The sequence below is a fragment of the Homo sapiens genome, chromosome 3, assembly GCF_000001405.40.
Source record: "Homo sapiens chromosome 3, GRCh38.p14 Primary Assembly".
Lineage (NCBI taxonomy): Eukaryota > Metazoa > Chordata > Mammalia > Primates > Hominidae > Homo > Homo sapiens.
Window position 1 is genome coordinate 62,756,774 of NC_000003.12, and position 23,883 is coordinate 62,780,656.

General features: G+C 39.7%; 1 protein-coding gene and 1 pseudogene across 51 annotated transcripts in view; both read right to left on the bottom strand.

Annotated features, from left to right (window-relative positions):
- Nucleotides 1-23,883, bottom strand: part of CADPS (calcium dependent secretion activator) — a 477,069-nt gene that overhangs the window by 358,426 nt on the left and 94,760 nt on the right. For all 51 annotated transcript variants that reach the window (NM_183393.3, NM_001438352.1, XM_011534199.3 and 48 more), the window contains exon 2: nt 9,098-9,211. In NM_183393.3, coding sequence (NP_899630.1) covers nt 9,098-9,211 — 114 coding nt within the window. The remainder of the gene's footprint in view (nt 1-9,097; nt 9,212-23,883) is intronic.
- On the bottom strand, nt 22,386-23,037 carry RPL14P2 (ribosomal protein L14 pseudogene 2; annotated as a pseudogene).

A 23,883-nucleotide genomic window follows, 5' to 3' on the forward strand; every position in this document is an offset into this window, starting at 1 on the left:
ACGTGTGAAGACCCCAAGTGCCTGAAGAAATAAGGAGGAGTCAGTGTGGCTGTGGCAATGAGGGCTGGGGGTGACAGATGTAAGATGGGCAGGGAGGGGCCAGAGAGTCCAGGGAGGCATTGAGAAGGAGGAGGTATTCAGGAGGAGGAGGGGATTAGGGTTGTTGGTCTTCATTTTAAGGGCATTGGAAAGCCATTGAAAGTTTTAAGCTGGGACACGGCACAAACCAGTTCACATTCTTTGGCTTTAATGTGGAAAAGAGACTGATGAAGGGAGCCAAGAAAATAGGCAGGGAGGCCAGTTGAGAGGTGCTTGTACGAGACCGGGTGAGTGTGATGGCAGTGGGGACACTAAGGGGTTAAGCCTTTGTTGTCAGTGCTAATAAACATAAGGGGTGACTTGAAAACATTCAATCAACAATGAAGCTATATTCTCCTCTACATCTATGCACATTAGTATCCCACAAACCCGAAATGGGCCTCAGTTATAAGCTCTCAGCCCCAGATTCTTTTTTCCTAAAGCCCTTCCACAGCTGCCATCTGCCACTGTTTTTGTGACTGTTTGGTAAATATCTGATCTCCAGCTAGACTATAAGTTCCAGGGAGGCAGGGTAGTCGTTGTTTGTTTCTATTACTGCTTCTTAGTGCCTGAGACAGTGCCTGGCATGTAGCTGGTGCTCAGTAAATATTTGTGGAATGAGTGAATGAACTATAAGAGCAAAGCAGACTCCTCTAGCAGGAAAAATATGGAGCGAGACTATGTCTGGATTGGGGCGAGAAGGTCAACGGGAAACCAGCACACGGTATATTGGTCTCTTAAAACAAGAGACTTAGGCTAGATTTTCCATGGGGCCTGATAACAAGGGGTAAGAAATAAAGATGTTGGCACTTGGGTCCCAGCTGGTGTAACTGGTTGAGTGATGTATTAGTCTGTTCTCACGCAGCTAATAAAGACATACCCAAGACTGGGTAATTTGTGAAGGAAAGAGATTTAATGGATTCACAGTTCCACATGGCTGGGGAGGCCTCACAATCATGGTGGAAGTCAAGGGAGGAGCAAAGGCACGTCTTATGTGGCATGGCAGCAGGCAAGAGAGCATGTGCATGGGAACTCGCCTTTATAAAACCATCAGATATCTTGAGACTTATTCACTATCAAGAGAACAGCATGGGAAAGACCTGCTCCCATGATTCAATTACCTCTCACTGGGTACCCCCATGACACGTGGGAATTATGGGAGCTACAATTCAAGATGAGATTTGAGTGGGGACAAAGCCAAACCATATCAGGTGAACCCTGAATCCTGGGCATAGCATCTGCTTCACTAGCCCCTTCCTTTGTACATAGTAGCTACTCAATAAATACTTCTGAATTACCAGTGGAAGACAAGTCACCTAACCTCCATCAGTCTCACTCTCCTTCATGGTAAACAATGAAGGAATCCAGCCTTTCTTCTTTGCTGAGGATCAAACTGAGAAGACTTTGAAAAGTGGAGGGATCTATCTGTCCTGTGTTAAGATACAACTGCCAGATCCCAGAAAGAGGAGAGATGAGTGGAATGATAAGAACATGGAGGAAAGAGGCCAAAGACTGGGGAGACAGTAAAGATGAATTGCCCAATGGAGACAAGACAGCCATGAGGAGAGAAGGTGGCAGCAGGAAACTATTTCTACAGGCACATCATCTGTCTTGGCTTCTCAGTCTGACAAAGAGGAAGTGGGGCCTGGGCCAGCCTCACCCTATAATGAATACAAACACTAAGTACTGATGTGCCTGTGTGTCTCTAAAACAACTATTCAAACTCAATTGTGCTGGGAGCTCTGTCTGTATTTTGTATCCGTGTTTGTTTCTGTTTTTGCTTTTTAGTGGCTGCCACAAGAGACTTTAACCCCAAGCCCAGTTCTATCTGGGCACATCCATAAATCCTCCCTGCTTTTCTGCCAACTTCCAGACAGGTCATAATGAGAGATGGAAGATAAACAAATAAATATGGAATTGTGAAGGACAGTCAATTCAGCAACTCGACCTCATCCATCAGTCCTTCCCTCCATCACCAGAGCCAAGCAACCTCAAGGTCATTTTAGAAACATACAAACACATCAGTACTTAGTGACTGTTCACATTACAGATGAGGTTGGCCTAGCTCCCATTTGCTAGCTGATAAGCTGAGAAGCCACAGCAGATTCATTCCTGTTCTGAAAAAGCATATCCTTTCAATATAAATAAGAAAAACATCTAGATGTTGGAGTAAGTAAGGTTTGCAAGAAACACACACCTCGTTGCTATTAATAAATGGGCACATAAATAATGAAAGGGGTAGACATCATGGTTAGGAGGATGGGCCCTGGTATTAGAACACCTGGGTTCAAATCCTGGCTCTGTTGCTTGCTAGCTTTGCCACCTGAGCAAGTTACTTAATCTTCCTGGGCTTTAATTTCCTCACCTTTAAGATGGGAGTTATAACAACCTTCCTTTGTAGGATTTTGGTGATCCCTGAATCCTGATTCAGTGATATTATGCCTGCAAGTTGGTTAGCCTGTTGCCTACTATTCGGCTAAGAATGTAATACAAGTTAGCTGTTATTTTTAAATAGAATATCATGCAGCCATGAAAAAAGATATATATTTTTTCATTACCATCCAAAGATGTCCATGATATATGGTTATAATGGACCAGAGCCTTCCAATGGCAGGGGTGAGGTGGGATTGGAGGATAGGAACATGGCTCTGGATTTAGAATACCATAGGAAATAAGACAGTTTACTGATGAGAGTATGCCATTTGTGTGACCTTTGGAAAGGTAGGAAGGAGACTGAAAACAACTGTGTTAAATAAAAGAAGTGGGTCCTTAATAGTTTGTGGTAATTTCCCACCTTAATATGCAAGCCAAATAGTTATCTTGACATGCATAGATACATTGAAAGTACCTGGAAAGATAGAAACCAAAGTTTAATTTTGGTTATCTAGGATGATGGGATTGCAAGTATTTTTTAACCATGTAAATGCAGAGATTTTTCTACATTGTCTGTTTTATTTTTATAGTGGGCATGTTTTACTTTCACGGTCATTTGAAACACATCTTTTCTACCTGGAAAAATACAAATTTTACCTTCTTTGAGGCAAGGTGCATTTTCATTTCTAAAATAAAATGTATTTTCAAATCTTAAAAATCTTCTTCACCAAAAAGTAAAGGATTCTGGGCAAAGTTTCAGAAGCAGATCTTGGGCCATGACCTTGTGGTAGGTGGTGCTAGATTAGGAGCAAAAGTACTTTCCCTTTTCTTTTCTATGCCCTTTTCCCCTGCTCCATCTTGCACCTCCCTTCCTCCATGCCCAGGGAGTGAATTGATTCTATCAACTTTCAACTCTCTTCTTCTATTTCTATGCAGCATATGGACACCATACCACCATGCTCATTTCTAACCTTAATATATTAATATATTCTAACCTTAATATATTAATAATGGAACTGTCCAGGTATATATATTCTCATTTAGTCTTGAGAGCAATTAGGCAAGGAAGGTCCTATTAAAGATGAAGCAACTAAGGCTCAGACATAGCTGAGGTCCCAGAGTCAGTGTGTAACAGGACTAGAACTCAACCCACCTCTGTCGGACACAATTTTTATTTTTAATTTATTTAGAGACAGGGTCTCATTCTGTCACCCAGGCTGGAGTGCAGTGGTGCAGCTCACTGCAGCCTTGAACCTCTGGCCCCAAGAGGCTGAGGTTCCTCAGCCTCATAAAGTACTGGGATTACAGATGTGAACTGCACCTGGCCTTGGACACTAAACTCATCCTCTTAATCACTCTGCCTGCCACCTCCTGCCTCCTCCTTGCTGGGCTTTCCCTGCAAGAATCAATGCTTTAGAGTGGGTAGTTATTCTTCCCCTATGGATGTACCTGTTTATCATGGTATCTCAGGTACCATGGAATAGTTGTAGCCATTCTACTTATTAGAAAATATATTGCTTCATTTTAGAAAAATAGCCAGTGTGACCTGATTTATACTCCTCTTAAATAAAAAAAGTTCAACCATAATAACTAAACGTCTTCTTGCATAGATGAAACCTGCAGTTTTAGCCTGCCAACTGTTCTTCCTCTTCTGATAATAGTACCTCAGTCTTTCTTCCAAGAACCCCTTTCTCATTACATAGTTGCAGTGGGATTGTCAATTGTAGGACTTTGTCCTTCTTTAGCCAAGTGGTGGGTTGGGATCTGAGCTTGGTCAGTAAGACTGCCACTTCTTGAGTTCACATTCCGAGTGGGTTGGCATGAGAATGGACTGGGCTAGAGTAGGTTTATCCCAATTATTAAGTGTCTGTTATATCTTACTATCTGGCTTCCTGAAGTTAAACTGGTCTGGTTTCCTTCTTTTCTGAAGCTTAGCTGTTTCTTCTGATAACAACAACAATACTGGCAACAACAGCAAACTATTGTTGTTGTTGTTGCTTCTGCTGTTGTTATGATGATGATGATGATTAGGGCTTAATTTAATCACAGTCGGTTTCTGTTGCTAGCAACTAAAGAAGTCTGTCTGTTGCAACATTCAAAGCTAGTGTGACAAAAATGAACTAGGCATTTATTAAAAAACAAAACCAAAACAATACAAACAAACAAAAAAATAACAACAACAACAAAAAAACAACACTCACACACCCCAAACAAAGCTCAATTATAGGAGCTTCACTGGCTGAAGTTCAGACATCAGATGCAGTGTTCTGAAATGAATTTTTATGTCTTCTGCCACATATGACACTCCCATTTTCTTGCAAATACCCCCATGTTCACTTCCAGGAAGAATTTGAGTTTTGTAAAACTTTTTTATCCACCTATTTTCTCTGATGCCAGGACCAGCATGTGAAGAAACTAAAATCAAGCAGGGAGGTGAGGAGGTGAGCATGAGGAGGTGAGTGTGAGGAGGGAGGGAGAGAGCAAGGGAGGGCTTATATTTTGGACATTTTTCTTAAAAATAGTTAGAAAAGGTGTGAGGAACACAGAGAAATGGCTCTCTGATGCCATATCTCAGGACCAGGGGTGTGAGAACCAGACAGAATTGCTGGGCCAGATCTCAGAGCACCCATCCCAGCCCCCAGCCCTTGGCCCTGAAAGCCAGAATTGAAGAGATTAATGGATTAATCTGTTGCCCTGCTTGATCCGCTCTGACAATCAGGGCCATCAGGAAAGGACAAAAATAAACCTGTGTGCTCTTGAGAACCATGGGGACCTTGGTCTCCTTTCTCCCATCCCCACTCATGGCCCAGGCCTCACCAACTTGTTGTTAATGGTGACTAGCTTGGTTCAGACTGGGCTGGATGGGCACAGATGGAAAAGGAATAGCACCTCCTCTCTCCTTTCATTTATTAAAAGATGATCTTTACTACTCTAGCATGCTGAGAGATCAATTCAGCAGTTGGCCCTCTGTATCCACAGGTTCCACATTCATGCATTCAGCCAACTACAGATACAAAATATAAAAAATAAGAAATAACAATAAAAAGTAATATAAATAAAACCAATATAGTATGACAACAATTAACATAACATTTACATTGTATTAGTTTTTATGAGTAATCTAGAGATGATTTAATGTATATGGGAGAAGGCCAGGTGTGGTGGCTCATGCTGGTAATCCCAGCATTTTGGGGGGCCAATGCGGGTGGATCACTTGAGCCCAGGAGTTCAAGAGCAGCCTGGGCAACATAGCAAAACCCTCTCTCTACAAAAAATACAAAAATTAGTCTGGCATGGTGGCATGCACCTGCAGTCCAACTATATGGGAGGCTGAGGAGGGAGGATCACTTTAGCCAGGGAGGTTGAGGCTGCAGTGAGCTGTGATTATATGACTGCACTCCAGCCTGGGTAACAGAAAGGAAACCCGGACTCAAAAAAAAAAAAAAAAAAAAGGTATATGGGAGGATGTGCATAGGTTATATGCAAACACTATGCTATTTTATATCAGGGACTTGAGCGTCTGAGGATTTTGTATTTGAGGAAGCCCTGGAACTAATGCTCTGCGGATACTGAGTAATGAATATATGCATTAGCAAAACAAGACCGATATCTAAAACTGACTTTTTAAAGTACAGAAATCCCAGAACATTTTGAGATTATTGCTGTTACACTATTTTTTAACGTTATTGCTGTTGGTAAACTGGAGTGTGAAGTTGTGGCATGGTAGGGTGGAGTGTGTGTGAATGTGAAAGAGAGGGAATTTGGAAGGAGGATATCTGTTGGTTTTGTCTGCTGAGCATATATTCCCCGTTTTGGTAAAAAGCAGCCTAACGGTTTATTAAGAAACCATTACATTCTTCCTGAAAATGGTTCCAGTGCAGCTGAGCCTGTACTCAGGTGCCAGAGATGGTGGCTGTCCTAAGCCTTAACCCCCCAGTCTATTTCACCCCCATCCACTGTGACTGACTCAAGAAGGGACATATGATCCATGTCAGTCCAACAAAGTCACCCCATGTCTTTGCTAGGGAGCTCAGCAGGGGTGTTCTCTTTGCTCCTGGAGGTGCTAAACTGGTAGGATGTGCCCTGGGGCTGTCAAGGTCTTCCACATGGAGAGAAGCTGACCAAGAAGGAAGTCAACACAGGGATGAGTACAGTCGAGAGGTGGGGGGAAGATACCCATCCCGCTGGTAACTTTGGAGCCTCTGGATCCAGCCATGGCTGAAGCCAGGCCTACTCCTGGACTTTTAAGTTAATTGAGGAAATAAATCTCTTTTTTAGGGTTATCCAGTATGACCTAGGTATCGGTCACTTATAATCCATAGAGTCCTGACTAAGACAGGGGCCAACAGAGAAGCAATTGGAACCCAGAGTTGGGTACAGGAAGAGACATCAGCTTCTCCATAGCCCAAGGATGAAGGGGAAAGGAGAAAGGAAGGTGTAATCAACTTGGAGAGCTCCCAAGTAAAGTGTTAACCCTGATCTCCTGATACAGAAACTTCACTTTAGAGGATTAGACTTCCCTGGAAAAGTGAATCTAAGACTCTCCAAAGTATTTACTAATGAAGACAGCAGTTAGATCATTAATACCCCACATCCTTTCTTATGTTACTCAAATGCTAACATTAAATATTCAGTAATTTCTCAATGCCTGTATTCTTACCAGACAAAAAATGAAACTGTTTCCAATAAACTAGCCACTACAGAGGAAAACATTGGGATCACTGTAGATGTAATGGTAATTTCCAGAGACTCATTAGCACCTTGATGACTATTAATTTTCACATTTAATTAATAGATAGAAATGACACTTTCTTTTAATTTATGCCATTAGTCAAATGAGCTTTCTAATTAAGATTTGCAACCTATAAATTTATAAACTCTGGTGAATGACTCTAAATATGGAGAACTATGGATAGGGGTCTGCTTGGCCTGACAAGGGTTCTGCCATTACTCTCCCATTGGCTTCCAGAACTTGAACAAAGAGGGAAAATTAATTTCATTCCCAGGCAGTTTCTAAACAAAACCTTAGTTAAATATATTCAAGTTATTCACTATCATATATCACTGTGATTCCAAATCTCATTTCTACTCCCCATGAAATTCAGCCAAAAAACTGTACCACATAAGATAAAGCAGCAAGTTTGACACTCATTGGCGATAATGAATGATACTTGTAAAATTTTAAAAGATTTAAATTTGGACAACTATAAAAACAAATTTGACTTCTAAAATAGATCCAAATAAAAATTTCTTGAAGAAAATGGTGTAAAAGGAGTCTGTGGTTGGTCCCAGCGAACATCACAAAGATTGTTTACTATTAAATGCTAATTAGCAAACCAATCAATAATATTTTCACAAGATCTAATTGCAGTCTTACTCTCTCCATGAAGGAAGGAGTCAAGTGCTTTAGCAAGTGGGAAGAAGAGTTTTGCCATATCAGGATTTTGCCTCTACCGAGGCTTCAATCAATTAACATATTGAAAGCATCTGTTGTGGGCTGAATCAGATGGGCAGACTAAGTACGTGCTTAGAGCACCAGCAAAGCAGGCACACCAACATTTTTGTTTTGAAATAATTTTCTATCTAATAAATAAAGGAAACAAGGAAGGAAGGAAATCAATGAAACAATCCCAGGGGAAAATCAGATTTTGTTACATTTTTCTTATACCTATCTTCAAGTTTACCATTATTACTGTGAATTGTATATAGCAGCATATCATAAGCTTTCAGTGCCTAGGAGCTGGTCTCTAATGGTTGTCATCTAACCTTGACAATGCATAAGACATTTGGGGCATAGGATTCCAAACACAGAGAGTATTTACCTGGTTCACATTAAAATAGATTAATATAAAGTAAAATGTCACTCAGTGACCAAATAATCATATTTGAAAATGTGCATATGAGGAAAGCATTGCCAATAGGAAGGTATGGCATGTCCACTTCATAATCATGTAGAAATAATAGCCAATATGCACACTGAGATAGAACACTTAACAAAATTTAAAAATATTTGCAGAAATACAAATCCACTTTACTGATAAGCTTCTGAGGTCTGGTGGTGAAAATTTACCTGTAATACATACTCAGAACATATTCTCTCTTTTGTAGATTTTCTCTAGAGAACAGCACTGCATTTTGGACAGTGGTTCCAGCTCCAGAAAAGAAAGCAGCATTTTTAAAAAAAGAATAAGGAAGTTCATGAAGCCACCATCCTTGGGAGGTGCTAACATCCTTTTAAAATGGTGTAAGTGGTGAGAAAAATGCTCCTGACTCAAAGTCACAGGTTGTGATTTTTCATAGCTGTGTGACCTTGAGTAATTAATTTAACCTATCTGAGCCTCAGCCTCTTCATCAGTAAAATGGAAATACAATCAGACCTAATTCATAAGACTGTTATATGTTGTATGAAAAACACTCAGTATATTGCCTGGTATAAAATTCCGTTGTTAAATAGTAGCTTACATTTAGTTTTCCCTAAAACAAAATACTGTTATTTCTTAACATTGTAACGAATCACCAACCCATTTGCCTTAGGAAGGATGATACTGTAGTAAACCAAAACGACTGTCCCCATTGCCCTGCAGCTCAGACTCCCCAGGCATAGGGCTTGAGTGGTCTTGGCATTCTTCTGAACAGTGATTCTCACCTCATAGTAACTCTGCACAGCGTTCATGAAGGCTTCGTCAGCCATGATCTGGGTTTCCCCATTGAGGAAAGCCTGAAACCGGTCCTTGACTGTCTGCAGCTGCTGTTTGCTGATCTGTAAGAAACAGAAAAAGAGGGAAATGTGAGAACTTGTCCTAGACAAGGATCATGGATACTTTATGCTGAAGATGCCAGACCCATTGGTGTATTGGAGCTGGCTTGTATAGGTGTGTGACAGCTGATTAGTGAATCTGTGGAAACTTCTGTGAGCCAGTGTTAAACACAGCCATTATTTTAAAATAATATATAAATAAATTATATTAAAAACAAAGTTAATACACTTTTAATACTTAAAATTCATTGCCTCCTAGTTATTTTACCACATTTCACTTTCATCAGTGCTTTTGAGGTTACTTACACCTATGGTATTTGCATGAGGGAAATTCTATATAAGGGAGTGCTACCACCCATCTCTTCCCAGCTCCACATTCAGTGTTGTCTCAGTGGCAGCTTCATGTCAGCCAAGGTGGGAATATTTAGACCATGGAAATTGGCAAATGCTACAAAACAGTTTTTTTTTCCCCTCCTGAGAAATGGTTGTTAAACATGTAACAGCAAACACAGCACTGCACATGCCCCTCTGGTGGTCTGAAATACCTTGATGAATGCAGTATGACCATATGCAGGGGTTTTCAAACTTTATTGTTGTTGGTACATCCATGATCACATGACAGATGATGTTTGGGTACAGGATATACTTCTGGGATGTGGCATAGAGAATTTGGGTACTAGGTTATGTACAATTCCTTGCCTATCAATCCCACCTTTCTTTCTTAGGAAAACTTTCCTAAAAGATTCCTACTCATTCTTCCTCCTCACCCCTTATCTGGCTCTATCATGCCATCCATCAGGTATCAATGCAGGCAGCACTAATTTATGAAGTCCTTCCCAGCCCCTAGGTTAGGGGCAGGTCTTCCTGCTATGTGATTCCACAGCACAGTGTTTGTTTAACTGCTTGATGATGATTAAATTTGTTACATGCGGTGTCTTTTCTTGCTATCTTATTCATCGAAGTTTTCCCAGGGCATAGCTAACTGCCTTATATGTGCCAGACACTCAGGGCTGATTACATGAATGAATGAATGGAGTGTATGCAAGACATGTTATTTTCAGGTATCTTTTCATTGGTTCTAATTTATATAAAATATGTATATTAACAAGTCAGCCAAAACTTTGCTGTTTTAAAAGTTAAAAACTTTTAACTTAAAAAAGTTAAATTTTTGTGAAAAGTTAAACTTTTTGTAAAAAGTTATGCTTTATAATAGATCATGAGAAACTACCTCTGTGAACCACTGTTCTAGTGGAAAAAGTAAGACCAGTCCAGTAGCAGTTCTGTTGGCCACTGTGTCATCTGGAAAAAGCGACTTATATTCTGCATTGACCTGAGAGTGAAGAGCCAGCCTTTCTGGATCAGGGCTGGGTTTAAATAAATTTTATCTCGTCCTTAGTTTTCTCACTTGGAAAATGGTGGTAATTCTAATTACCCATTGTCCTGGGATAGTTATAGCTATTCAATAACATAACGAGTTCTTTTAAAAAATTAAAAGTTTTTATATAAATCCAAGTGATTTTACTGTTAGAGTCAATATAATTAGAAAATAAAGTTTAAAGCTTTAGGAGACACAAAGCCAGCATGAGTTTTGACTCAGTCAAGAAACAAAAACAAAACAGAATTTTGTTTGTGACACAGATGGAAGCTGGGTGCTTTCATTAATTTTTGTATCTTTGGAAGAAGTTGGGGAATAGTGAAGTCAAGGGTAGATTAAAAGGGGTTAGAAATTTATCAGACTCATATTTGTTACATTCTAGGGCACCACTATTCAATGTTAGCCACATGTATAATTTTAAGTTTTATAGTAGCCACATTAAAAAAATAGAAACAAGTGAAATGAATTTTGATATACTTTACTTAACCCAATATAGCCAAAATAACGTTTCAACATGTAATCAGTATTTAAATTATTAATGAGACAGTTTACGTTTAAAAAATGCTATGCCTTTGGAATCTGGTGTAGTTTACCCGTACAACATATCTCAATTCAGAGTAACCAAACTGCAGGAGTTCAACAGCCACATGTGGCTAGTGGCTATTGCACTGGACCAGTTCAGACCTAAAGCATGGAATAAACTCACTTCTAAGTTGCTTAAGCTTTCCTGCTCTGACCCATGGAGCAGAGCACATATTGATATGTGAAATTGAAGAGAAAATCACAGTTATTTTTTATGTGCTTGAAACCATTTGAACTGAAATATTAGGTAGCAGTTGATTTGCTCATAAAAATGATACCCGTAACATACATTTATTTTAAGCAGGCCAGCTTTAATCTAGTTCACAAATCCTAACAGTATAGGACCAACCAAGGCATCTCACAGGATTTCTTGCTCAGAATTCCTTCTAAAACAGTGTGAATACCAGCTTTGCGTGATTTTGGGAGTGGGGTGGGATGATGGGGCAGGAGAGGAATGGAGGCCTATAGACCTCGCTTTTGTCTTAAATGATTAATTGAAATAAAATTATGCACATACCATATGAATGATCAAGATTGATTGTTGACCCAGGCCAAATCTATTATCTGTCTAACCTTTCCTTAAATAAGCATGGTGCTCATTTAGTTAAGAAATATTTATAGATCACCCACACTCTGCCCAGCCCTGCACCAGACACTACGGGTTCAGTGGTCAACACACTCAACCCCTGATCTCACCTGTTACTTCTTAGGGCTGGGCACTAAGGAATCAAAAGAAATAAGGGCTTTTCTTCAGGGATCTTATAGTCTAGGTGGAGAGGAAAAGGCAAACAAAAAAGCACATTAAATTATGATTCAGGATTTCAGAGAAGAGAAATTACAGAATATAAAACTCTCAAAGGAGAAAGGAGCTAAGGAACTTCAGGAACATTAATTTTAATCAAGTTCAGAGAACACACACCGCAAAGCCACACAAAGCATCCCTTGCTTTCCTAGTCACATTAAGCTCTCAGAAGGAGAGTTGGGGGCATGGACTTCAGCGGCAGAACTTTGCTTATGTCTGGGTTTTGCCACCTACTGGTTTACAATTCACTACTTTTCTCACCGCTAATTCAACAAGCCTAGTGTTTATTTACTCAACTCACTAGCCATGTCTCCCTGGGCAAATGACTAACCTCTCTAAAGCTCAGTTTTCTCATTTGTAAAATGGGGCCAATACTGACCTCATAGGGTTGTTGTGAGGATTAAGATAAGCAAAATACTCACTGCAGAACTTAGCACAGGATGAATGCTCAATACATCTTAGCTACTGTGATGATTAATTCTCATCTTTTTTTTTTTTTAAAACAAACAAAAAAACAGAGTCTCACTGTTGCCCAGGCTGGAGTGCAGTGGTGTGATCTCGGCTCACTGCAACCTCCACCTCCTGGGTTCAAGTGATTCTCGTGCCTCAGCTTCCCAAGTAGCTGGGACTATGGGTGTGTGCCTCTACAGCTGGCTAATTTTTGTATTTTTAGTAGAGATGAGGTTTCACCATGTTGGCCAGGCTGGTCTCGAACTCCTGACTTCAGGTGATCCACCTGCCTCGGCCTCCCAAAGTGCTGGAATTACAGGCGTGAACCACTGTGGCCACCCTAATTCTCATCTTTGAGTGTTTGCACATACTATTCCCTTGAGAATGCCTGCCTCTGGGGACATTTCACATGTACACATCTTTAAATTTAGTGCATGTGCTCCCTTCCAGACTCCCCAGGTGGAGGTCGCTGTTTTCTCAGCATTTTGTTCACAGTCCTATGGGTGCATGTTTTATGTGGCGAAGTAGTTATTTATTTAAACTCAAGTGCTCAGGGGCAGAATCATGAGTCAGGAGTTGAGCGCACAGGCTTGGGGTCCAAGAGACACAGGTTCAAGTCCTGGTGATACCACTCACTTCCAGGCTGCATGACCTTAGGCAACCTACTTTCCCTAAGCCTTGGTTCCTCATTAAAAAATTTGGATGATAAAACTGACTTCCCAAAGTTGCTAAAAAGATGAAAAGGAAATGGGGTAACATACCTCAAGATCTTAGCACATGGCCTGGCATAAAAGAGCCAAATGATAAACTCAATGGGCTCCAAGGCTCTGCATGACGTACCCTGACTTTGACTTGCTCCACTTTGCTCTTTACTTACTCTGGTCTCCAGCACACTGGTGTCTTTTTTACTTCTCAGCTGTGCCCCGACTTTTCTTGCCTGAGAGCCTTTGCTCTTGCTGTTCCCTTTACCAGGGATGCTCTTCTGGTTTTCCCCATGGTTGGCCCCTTAGGATTCAGCCAAGCCAGCATCTCCTGGGAAGCTCTTCCCTGACCATTCCATCTACAGTAAAGTTCTCCCAGATAATCTCTGTCACAGTGCCCTGCAACCTGAGCATTTCCTGCACAGTCATTATCACAGTTAGCCCTTATCTTCTCTAAGGTAAAATTATTTAATTATAACATGTACCCAGAAAAATATACTTTATCAGCACAGAATATGAGGAATTCCTTTTTTGTTTGTTTGTTTGTTTTTTGAGACAGAGTCTTGCTCTGTTGCCCAGGCTGGAGTGCAGTGGTGCCATGTCAGCCCACTGCAAACTCCGCCTCCTAGGTTCAAGTGATTCTCCTGTCTCAGCCTCCTGAGTAGCTGGGATTACAGGCAAGCACCAGCACGCCCAGCTAATTTTTGTATTTTTAGTAAAGATGGGGTTTTGCCATGTTGATCAGGCTGGTCTTGAACTCCTGGCCTCAAGTGATCCACCTGCCTTGGCCTCCCAAAGTGCTGGGATTATAAGCGTGAGCCGTCATGCCCAATCGGTATAAGAGATTCTCACAAACTAAACTTTTCCAGATAACAAACTTTCGTATCAAGATAAACAACATTACCCAGACCCCAGAAGCTCCTGGATATTCCCAAAGTCATTGCTCCCTCCAAAAGTGACCACCAGCCTGACTTCTATTATCACAGATGAGTGTTGCCTGTTTTTGAACTTGGTGTCAATACGATCATACATGATGAGATTCATCCCTGTGGTTAGGAGTAGCAATAGCTGGTCCCTTCTCACTGCTGGGTAGTATCCCATTTTACAGGTATACCACAATTTATCCATTTTCCTATGATGCATATTAGGGCCTTCTTTATTTTAAAATTATACCTACTTTTCATTATCTATCTCTCTACAAGAATATATGTTTCACAAGTACAAGGACCATATCTGTCTTGTTTACTGTTGTACTTCTTGTTTATAGCTATACACATATGTCTCATTTGCTGCTGTGCACACAGTGAGCTCTCAACGAATGTTTGCTGAGTGAATACATGAGCCTATTAAGGGCTTAATGTATACCAGGCACAGTGTTAGGCTCTGGCGATATAACAGTATCAAGGCACAATCTTAGCTCTCGAATTTCTCACAATTGAGTCAGAAATCGCATACTCATCTTTGACTTCTTAACACCCTTTGCCAACTGCATGAGTGAATGAAAATCTTACTTAGAAGCTTGCAAAAGCCAGTCTAAGAATCAACTGTGGGACAGAGTTTGTATCTGGTTAAAAGTTAACTGACTTATATAGGATTGAACCCAAAAGGTGACCTTGCACGAATAAACTGAAATAATTGGCCCAGAGTAGCTGACAGTACAACTCTAAACAAACAAATGGGCTTTGATGAGCCGCTTAGAGAGAGAATCCTCCTAAAATAGAAGTCCATCTAAAAGCATTTAATATGCATAGAAACCACTTGTACATCAAGGTCAGAATTCAGAATTGCAGTAATGAATTCCAAGCAGAAAACCTGAAAAGATGGAAGGTGATTATTGTAGAAGACAGTGCTGCAGCAGCGTTTGCTAGAACTATTCAAGCATTCTTGGTTCCGTCTACCTCATTAACCAAGGCCTGAAAATTCCCACTGCATTTCAGGCAGTTTGTAATTTACTGAAGCATTCTGGAGAAGTGTGAAATGTGATCTGCAGTGAGGAGAAAACGGCATGTTCTAAGTGTCGGTCTCAGGAGAGGCAATGCTGAAGTCAGAGCAAGCTCAAGTCACATGCTAGCTTTGCTATGAGACCTTGGTCAAGTAACTGGTTTTGGGTTTTTCCTCTGTAAATAGGGGAAAGCAATATCTACTTTACAGAGTCTTTGTGAAAACTAGGTGGGATAATATACGTATAATATATATATTTATAATACATGTAATAATATATAGCATAGTATCTGGCATAGAGTAAGGACTCAATAATAAAAACAATACAGGAAGTATTATTTTTTTCCCTATCATTTATCTTTTATCTTCTTTCAATGCTTTTTTTATTTACTCAGCCTTTTGAAGGTATCACTGATGTGGTATTCCTTACCTCATTCTTTCTTGGCCCTTCTAGTTTAGAGGCTGGAAAGCCAATTACTCCCTTCCCAGTTTCGCTTGCTATTATGGGTGGCCATGTAACAGATGCAGAAAACTACTGGGGGCATCTTCTGGAGAAATATTCGAAATCCTCATGAAAATGAACATACTTGGTGGTATAATCCTTTTCTTTCCTGCTGCCCCTTCTTCTGCTGAGAATACAAATCTATTGTCTATAGCCATGGTATCTATCTCATGACCATCCAGGAAAGGCTAAGAGCATCGCAGAAATGTGGTCCTTACATTTTTTGGGTGGCTGAACAAATGTTTGTAAACACCCATCTCTGGTTTTTTCATTATGTGAGAAAAAATAAATATATTTCTACTTGTTCAAGTCACTGTATGTTTTCTCTTACTGGCAGCCAGATGCATTCCTAATGGATACACTTGGTTTACAATAGTCATGGAAGAAGGCATACTTACTAAGATGCTTATTGGTTAATATGTGTCCTATTGCAACAGCAACTGTATCAGAAAGAAGGGAGAAGCAATGCTTATTGTAAAAGAAGGAACCTCAAATAGCAGCATTCTAAGCATAGGCAGCAGTGAGTAGAAAAATATCTTTGGGTGTATAGAGATGTTCCAGTTATACACATAAATTAGGTCCTTTTCTACTTAAAGTATAATGTCAGCATTGTATATTGCAATTTTTAATATAAGCCATGCTTTTTCTTTTTAAAAAAGAAATCATTATCTGGGAAAAAAGGGACAGGTTTTTAAAGCTTTTCTTTATTATAGATAACTGGAAAAAAAGTCAACTCAACAAGTGTTTAAAAATCATCAGCTAATCTAGAGAGATTAGGGCAATGTTTATTTAATTTCTTTTTTTTGAAGACTTCAAAAATTTATATTGGGCCATGAATTTTATTAATAAATAAAATATGCCCTTTCTACAACCAGACTAAATATTTTCTACTCTAAAGGAAGTCCTGCTTTTAGAAAATTTAGAAATCACATCATCTTAACCAAATATTTACTTATTTACATAAAGTTCTTCTCACCTTTTATATTATATATGTATATTTATGTAACATACTCTGAAAAAGGCATTTTAAGTGACTTTTATTTAGCTTGAAGAAAAAATCTGACAGACTTTATCACGGCAAAATATAAATGAGTAATTCTGAAATGCAAGTTGAAGGGGGAAAAACATATTGAAGGTGGGGAGAATTACGATGAGGCTGTTATCCTAGACTTCCCTTTGGAACATGGTTTCCCAAAATTCAACTACTCAAATAATAATTCAATTATTTAAGTAATACTCCCATGAGTATGTCCTCCCCATGTACTAACTGTACTATTTACTTTTTGTTTTTGCATTAAACTTACATCAAATCACTTTCTTCTAAGCAATAATATCCAAAACCATAAGCTTTATGTAGTTTTATGTAGTAGCTATTGTTAAATTAGATATGTTCTATCCTCTTGCATACCTCTACCACATTTTACAAAGTGTTTCTTTAGAAAAAATGTAAAATTCTTCTATATATAACAATTCTTGCTCATTTTTAAAAAATTTAGGGTAGCAGCTGAATATAAGTTAATTACTACTTTTAAAAAATGAGGTCAATTTTAAAATTATTTAATAATAGACCAATCAGCATGCTATTCCTAAAGATCTATTTTTGGGCAGAAGAGAAAGAATAAAGACCTATAAATTGGCCACATGATACTCTAACAAAGAGTTCTATGACCTACAGGGAAATGAACATGGAGACATAATTTGAACATTGATTAAGATGGGATTGTCCCAACCAACAATTATCTAGCAGAAGAGGAAAAAAATAGGAAAAATGCATCTAGAAGGTGAGTTGGGGCTAAAGATTGGATTGAAGATCAAAAGAGAAGAGGAAAAGGATCAAAGGGGACGAAAAGAAGAGAAGGAGAAGGAGGTCTACTTTTCACCCTTCCGGCCACAAAGCTCTTAAAAGGTGTTCTTTAGTAGGACAAATGTTCCACCCTTGAACCCGATAACATTAAAAAAAAAGAACATTTTTCCAACTTGGAGGCACTCAGTTAAAAAAAAAAACGTACTTTTCCAACTTGGAGGTACTCAGGCAGTACTCACATGGATTCTTCTGGCATGTGGTCAAATAAGGACTTCTAGAGCCAAAGATCTCATTAAGAGTTAGTTGGCTAGTTGCCATCATTCTCATACTTTTTAATGTCAAGTCTCTTTCCCCTCTTAAAAATCACTGAGGACTGCAAGGAGGTTTTGTTTATGTAAGTTGTTTTACAGCTATTAACAAATACTATAGTGATACTAAAACTGAGGAGTTTAAAATATTAACTCATTAAAAATAACAAACCCATCATATGTTAAACTGAAATAATACCCTTTTATGAAAATAATATTTTCCAAAACAAAATAATAGTGAAGAAATATCTTTTAGAGATGAGTAGAGGACAGTTAGATCCTCATTTCTTTTTCTGCATTCAATCTGTTGTGAAATGCCGTTTTGGTTGAAGTATATGAAGAGAATCTGGCCTCCTACAGATAGGTTGTTGGAAAACTGAGAGATATTGTAATAGCCTTTTCAGACAAATGGGATAGTCTTCCTGATACTATACCAAAGCCCAAGTGGTGGTATTTTCTTGAAAGTTAGATGCACTGTAAAATCAGACACCATGTCAGTGAGCTTTTTATACTCAATTACATTAAAACCCATTGATCTGTCTTGCTATTTGAATGAATCTTTTACCCATAAGTGTTTTTTTTTTAATTTTTGTTTTGTTTTGTTTTTGAGACAGAGTCTCTCACTCTGTCACTCAGGCTGGAGTGCATAGGTGTGATCTTGGCTCACTGCAACCTCTGCCTCCCAGGTTCAAGCGATTCTCATACTTTAGCCTCCCAAGTAGCTGGGATTACAGGCATGCACCACCAAGCCCAGCCAATTTTTGTATTTTTGTATTTTTTTTTTTTAGTAGAGATGGGTTTTCACCATGTTGGCCAGGCTGGTTTCAAACTCCTGGCCTCAAACAATCTGCCTGCCTCGGCCTCTGAGAGTGCTGGGATTACAGGCATTAGCCACTGCGCCTGGCCCGTAAGTGGTTTTATTTTTTAAAAATCATACATTGGTCATATCAAAAATGAATTCAGTGAGTTATGTTAATTTTCCAAATGTTCACACATTTCATCACACAATACATAAAAAATCATATGACTTAATATTGCCACTGATATCAAAAAAATCTTTAGGTATTAAGAAACTGTCCAGATTATGGTGGTGATTGAAATCTCAAATTTTATTATTAGCAAAAAATATTGTCAGTTGTTTTTCTTGAAGTAACAGGCTCCCTCCATTTACTTTCTAGAAAACATCTATGAAATACCTACATTTGTCTGTTGATTGTTTTTCCAAGTAAAAATGATATTCCATTTTTTAAAAAGCCTTGTTAAGTTGGCAACTCAATCAGACAAGTCCCTTCCCATGAGACAACTGTTGTCCTTCCTCGTGCTGCCTGAGTGCTTTATGCATAGTTACCATTTCACTGTATAGAATATTAAAAAGGTGTGTGCCCAAGGATCAACATTTAATAAAATTAACACTTTCTATGGTTTCATCAAGGAAAGTATTCCGTGAAGTTGGCCGTTTTTAAGCAGGAAGTACATGGCCATGACAGATATAATGATTACTAGTACAGTTTGGCACCACTGCCTTGGTTTGTGCGAAAGTACCAGCAGTCTTCCTCATCATTGCTTTTGCATCATTATTGATAATGTTAACATAGTGAGAAAAAAGCATATAATGTCTTGGCATTACTAGGAAAATCACCTTGCAGACTTCCAGGGTCATGTGGACTATGCTTCCAGAACCACTGCTGTAGTGAATCAATGAATCTGCTAGTAGTGAATCTACTACCAGCAAGGTAGTAGTCAGGAGGAGAGTGCTAGGGTATAGTCTTGGAGAATATAGCATGAGAATATAATAGGCAGAGAACAGAACACAGTACAGGGGCTTGCATGCCAAACTGAAGAGTTGGGCTTTAATTCAAAGAATGGTGGGAAAGCATTGAAATGTTTTGCATAGGAGAGTGACATGGTTTAAGAACATGCAGAATTGGCCGGGCACGGTGGCTCATGCCTGTAATCCCAGCACTTCGGCGGGCCGAAGCAGGCGGATCACGAGGTCAGGAGATCAAGACCATCCTGGCTAACACGGTGAAACCCCGTCTCTACTAAAAATACAAAAAATTAGCCGGGCATGGTGGCGGGCGCCTGTAGTCTCAGCTACTTGGGAGGCTGAGGCAGGAGAATGGCGTGAACCCGGGAGGCGGAGCTTGCAGTGAGTGGAGATTGCGCCACTGCACTCCAGCATGGACAACAGAGAGAGACTCCATCTCAAAACAACAACAACAACAACAACAAAAGCATGCAGAATCAGGGAATAGGAATGAGTTCTGGGGGTTAGCATAGAATCAGGAGAATGTTTCAGGCTTGCTGTGATATTTGAAGAGAGGAGGGCCCTGAATAGTATCTAGAATCTCAGTTTGCAGAGGCAGGGATAGCTGGGAAAAGAGGAAGGCCGTAGGGAGAAAAGGCGAGAGAGAGATGAGGAGGGCATTCCAGGTTGAGGGTACAAAATGGGTGAGGAAAGACAAGATGAGAAACTGTGGGACCTTCTTGGAGGACACAGCAAGAATCTCTTTTGTCAGTTACAATCTAGACCCTGCCGACTCAAAAAACAAGGATTAGGGGCGGCTGTGTGAGTATGCACAACAGAGGAGTCCAAAAACAAAGTCACAACTATTAAAAATGAAACGACAGATTGTTCCATTTGGCTGGAGCTCAGATTAAAATACTAGCACAGCAACATATGAAATCACTAAATCACCACACACCATCTTGGGTCTTATAAGGTTTAATAGTGAACTCATCAGTAGCAATTATTTCCAGAGAAAAAGCTGAAAATATCTGAATGCAGTCTATGTACAGGTTATATGTGACGCTAATGTAACATTCACAAACTGTGACCATGAGCTTCACTGAAATTGATTTAGATAAGAACATTATCCTGTCAGCATGAATAGAGAGAGAAGGTACAAGTGATTGGCAGTCGCTTTTCAGGCTGCTGGGGGATGTGGAGGAATGTGGAGACCTTGGCTGGTTGTTCTAACAATCGCCATTCAGGATCCAGAATAGCAGAGAGAAAAAACAGGACAAAGAGTGAAGGTGATCTGAAATTAGGAAATATGAAAAACACAAGTGCACACCCTAATGCAAACTAGGAACTTTAGTTAATAATAATGTATCTGTATTGGCTCATCAACTGTAACAAATAGAGCATGCTAATGCAAGATGTGAATGATGGGGGAAACTGTTGGAGGTAGGGGGATACGGAGTATACGGGAACTCTTCTGTATTTTCTGCTCAATTTTTTTATAAACCTAAAACTCCTCTAAAAAATAAAGTGTATTAGTTAAAGAGACACACACATGTGCACATGGAGACCTTCTACAAAGGGATCCGAATACAGCAGCACACATGATGCAGGCCTAAGCATGCCCAGGGAAGAACAGAAAATTCTATCACTCAAGCCTGTCCTGATATTCAGAAGCAGGAAAGAGTAAAAAGCCATCAGTATTTCTGAGTTTCATCATCTCATGTCTTACGGCAATATGAGCCGGCTGAATTGTACTGAGGTTTCAGAGACTTTTCTCCACTCACAAATGAGTTCTGGCTTATTACAATGCTATTTATCATTGGCTCGATTCTCCCTCTGTGACTTTATATTATTGATAATTTAAAGGCATCAGTGATTTAATGACTCTTGCTCCATCTGACAGAGAAATAGCTTTGGTTCCTTTTGGAAGCAGTGGAGAGGTTGAACTTTCCTCAGGTTGAGTGACGCCACTTGTCTTATCAATGGACAAACTATATATTTCACGTATTGGTAAACACATGGGGATACTCCATGGAATACTACTGCAATCACTTTGGAGATAGCTCCTTTTTCCCCTTATAATATTTTGTTGCAAGAAATGTCGAGATCATTGTCCCTGTGGTTAGTTAACAATTGTTCAAATTTCATTTTTTAGTAAGTCTATTTTTTAGTAACTCCGCTGATGCATTTTTAAGCTATTAATGCTATTTAAAAGCCTTTCTGCATTTTCCCTTCACTTTCTTCACTTGGCAAAATCTTATTTGTCTATTAAAATGCTACTTCAGATCACTTCTCTCTGATGGCTCCTTCCAGCCTCTGAATGATACCTCTTTAGTCTGAACTCCCTCATCCCTGACTCTTGGTATTTATTATATGATTGATATACAGCATGAACTTTAATGTCTGTCTTGCATCAGCATTACCCATGAAGCTTACAGAAAATATTGATGCCTATACACCCACCACAGACCCACTCACTCAGAATGGCTGGGAATAGAAACCCAGGTATGTACAAGTTTAGAAACTTCACGAGCATTTCTGACATAAGCCAAAGTTAAGAGCCATTGCAAGAAACACTTGCTGAACGAACTCAACTATGGTATATTTTTATAAAGGATGAAAGGTATTTCCTATTCTCTTTAGTATGAGTTAAATATTCTGTAACTGCATGTGAAATGGAAACTAGATTTTTCTTTTCCAGAAAGAACATTTACTTTTTTTTTTTTTAAGATGGAGTCTTGCTCTGTCACCCAGTGGCACGATCTCAGCTCACTGCAACCTCCACCTGCCGGGTTCAAGCAATTCTGTCTCAGCCTCTTGAGTAGCTGGGATTACAAGCACATGCCACCATGCCTGGCTAATGTTTATATTTTTAGTAGAGATGGGGTTTCGCCATGTTGGCCAGCCTCGTCTCAAACTTCTGACCTCAGGTGATCCGCCTACCTCGGCCCCCAAAGTGCTGGGATTATAATAACCTCTTATGCTTTCTTGCTAGATGCCTTTGGAGCTGGTGCTTTTTGGGCTGGAGTGTTTTGACCCTTCTGAGCTTCCAAAGGAGGTACTGCCTTCTGGCCTTTTGCTTTCTGGGCAGGAAACTTCTGGGTTGCAGCCTTCTTTCCCGCAGTGGTCATCTTTTTTTCTGGAACTTTAGCAGCAGCACTCTTAATAGCAGGTGCTTTTTTGGGAGACACTTTCAGGAGAGCTGCCTTTTGAAGCTTCTTAATTTCATTCTTGATTATTCTGTTCCTCATTTTGCCTTCATGACTTTAAAATGATCAAAATCTGCCATCTTGGCTTTCCCTTCTCTGGCTTCAATCTTCTTGGCCCATCATGTGGCTGCCCATTTTGTATTGTCTGCCCTCTGCCAGGCTTATGGGACATAATTCTGCTGGGCACTGTGTGGAAACTTGAGGATGAAATCAGTGAGCTGCATGCATTTTAAAGGCATAGGCTGTCTCCTTACCTGAGTGCAAGGTCCACCGACCAAAGCCCCATTCTGATCAATAACATCTACAGTTGTGACCAGTTTTCCAGCCTAAGGTCCAAGGAAGATGTAGGTTACCTGGCCAACCTCCACGAAGCTCCTCAACACAATGTCAGTGGCATTCAGTGAGAAGGAAACTAGATTTTTCAATGCAGTTTTAGAAGACTAAACTGGGAGACAGTAGATGGTACAGTGAAGCAGATTTAGGGATAACATAAGGATAAAGTTCTGTTATTTGGAACTCTTTAAAAATGAATTAGGTTGTCATTTGATGCAGTTTCTCATCATTGAGAGTATTTGCTTGTTTAGAAGGGATTCATCATTGAACTGAGGGCTAGTGGCTACCACAGCCCCTTGTACATAGAGTTTATGGTACTTTATTTCATAGGGTTTTTTTTTCTTCCAGGCTGGTCTCAAACTCCTGGGCTCAGGCAATGTTTCCACCTTGGCCTCCCAAAATGCTGGGATTACAGGCGTGAGCCACTGTGCCTGGCCTCAGGGGTATTTTCCAAATAGAAAAATGATCTAAAACTTGAAAATACAGCCTGGGCAACATAGCAAGATCCCATACCTCAAAACTTTTTCAAAAAATTAGCCAGGCATAGTGGTGCATGACTGTGGTCCCAGCTACTTCGGAGGCTGAGATGGGAGAATTGTTTGAGCCCAGAAGCTTGAGGCTGCAGTGACCTATGACAGCACCACTGAACTCCAGCCTGGGTGACAGAGACACATTTCAAAAAAATAAATAAAATTATAAATTAAACTTGAAAATAAAAATAAAAGATAAATGTGTCACCTAGTTTGTGATGAAGAGCATTGTGTAACAAGCTTGGAGAATGAGGTCCTCTCATTCTCCAGAAAAACTCTTAAGTTTGTTTGAATTACTTTTTTCTACTGATTAGGTCCAGACTCTATGAAGCTAGACATTCATTAACTTGTAGAATACTGATAAGTTGCAAATGATTTCTGTCTAGTGGAA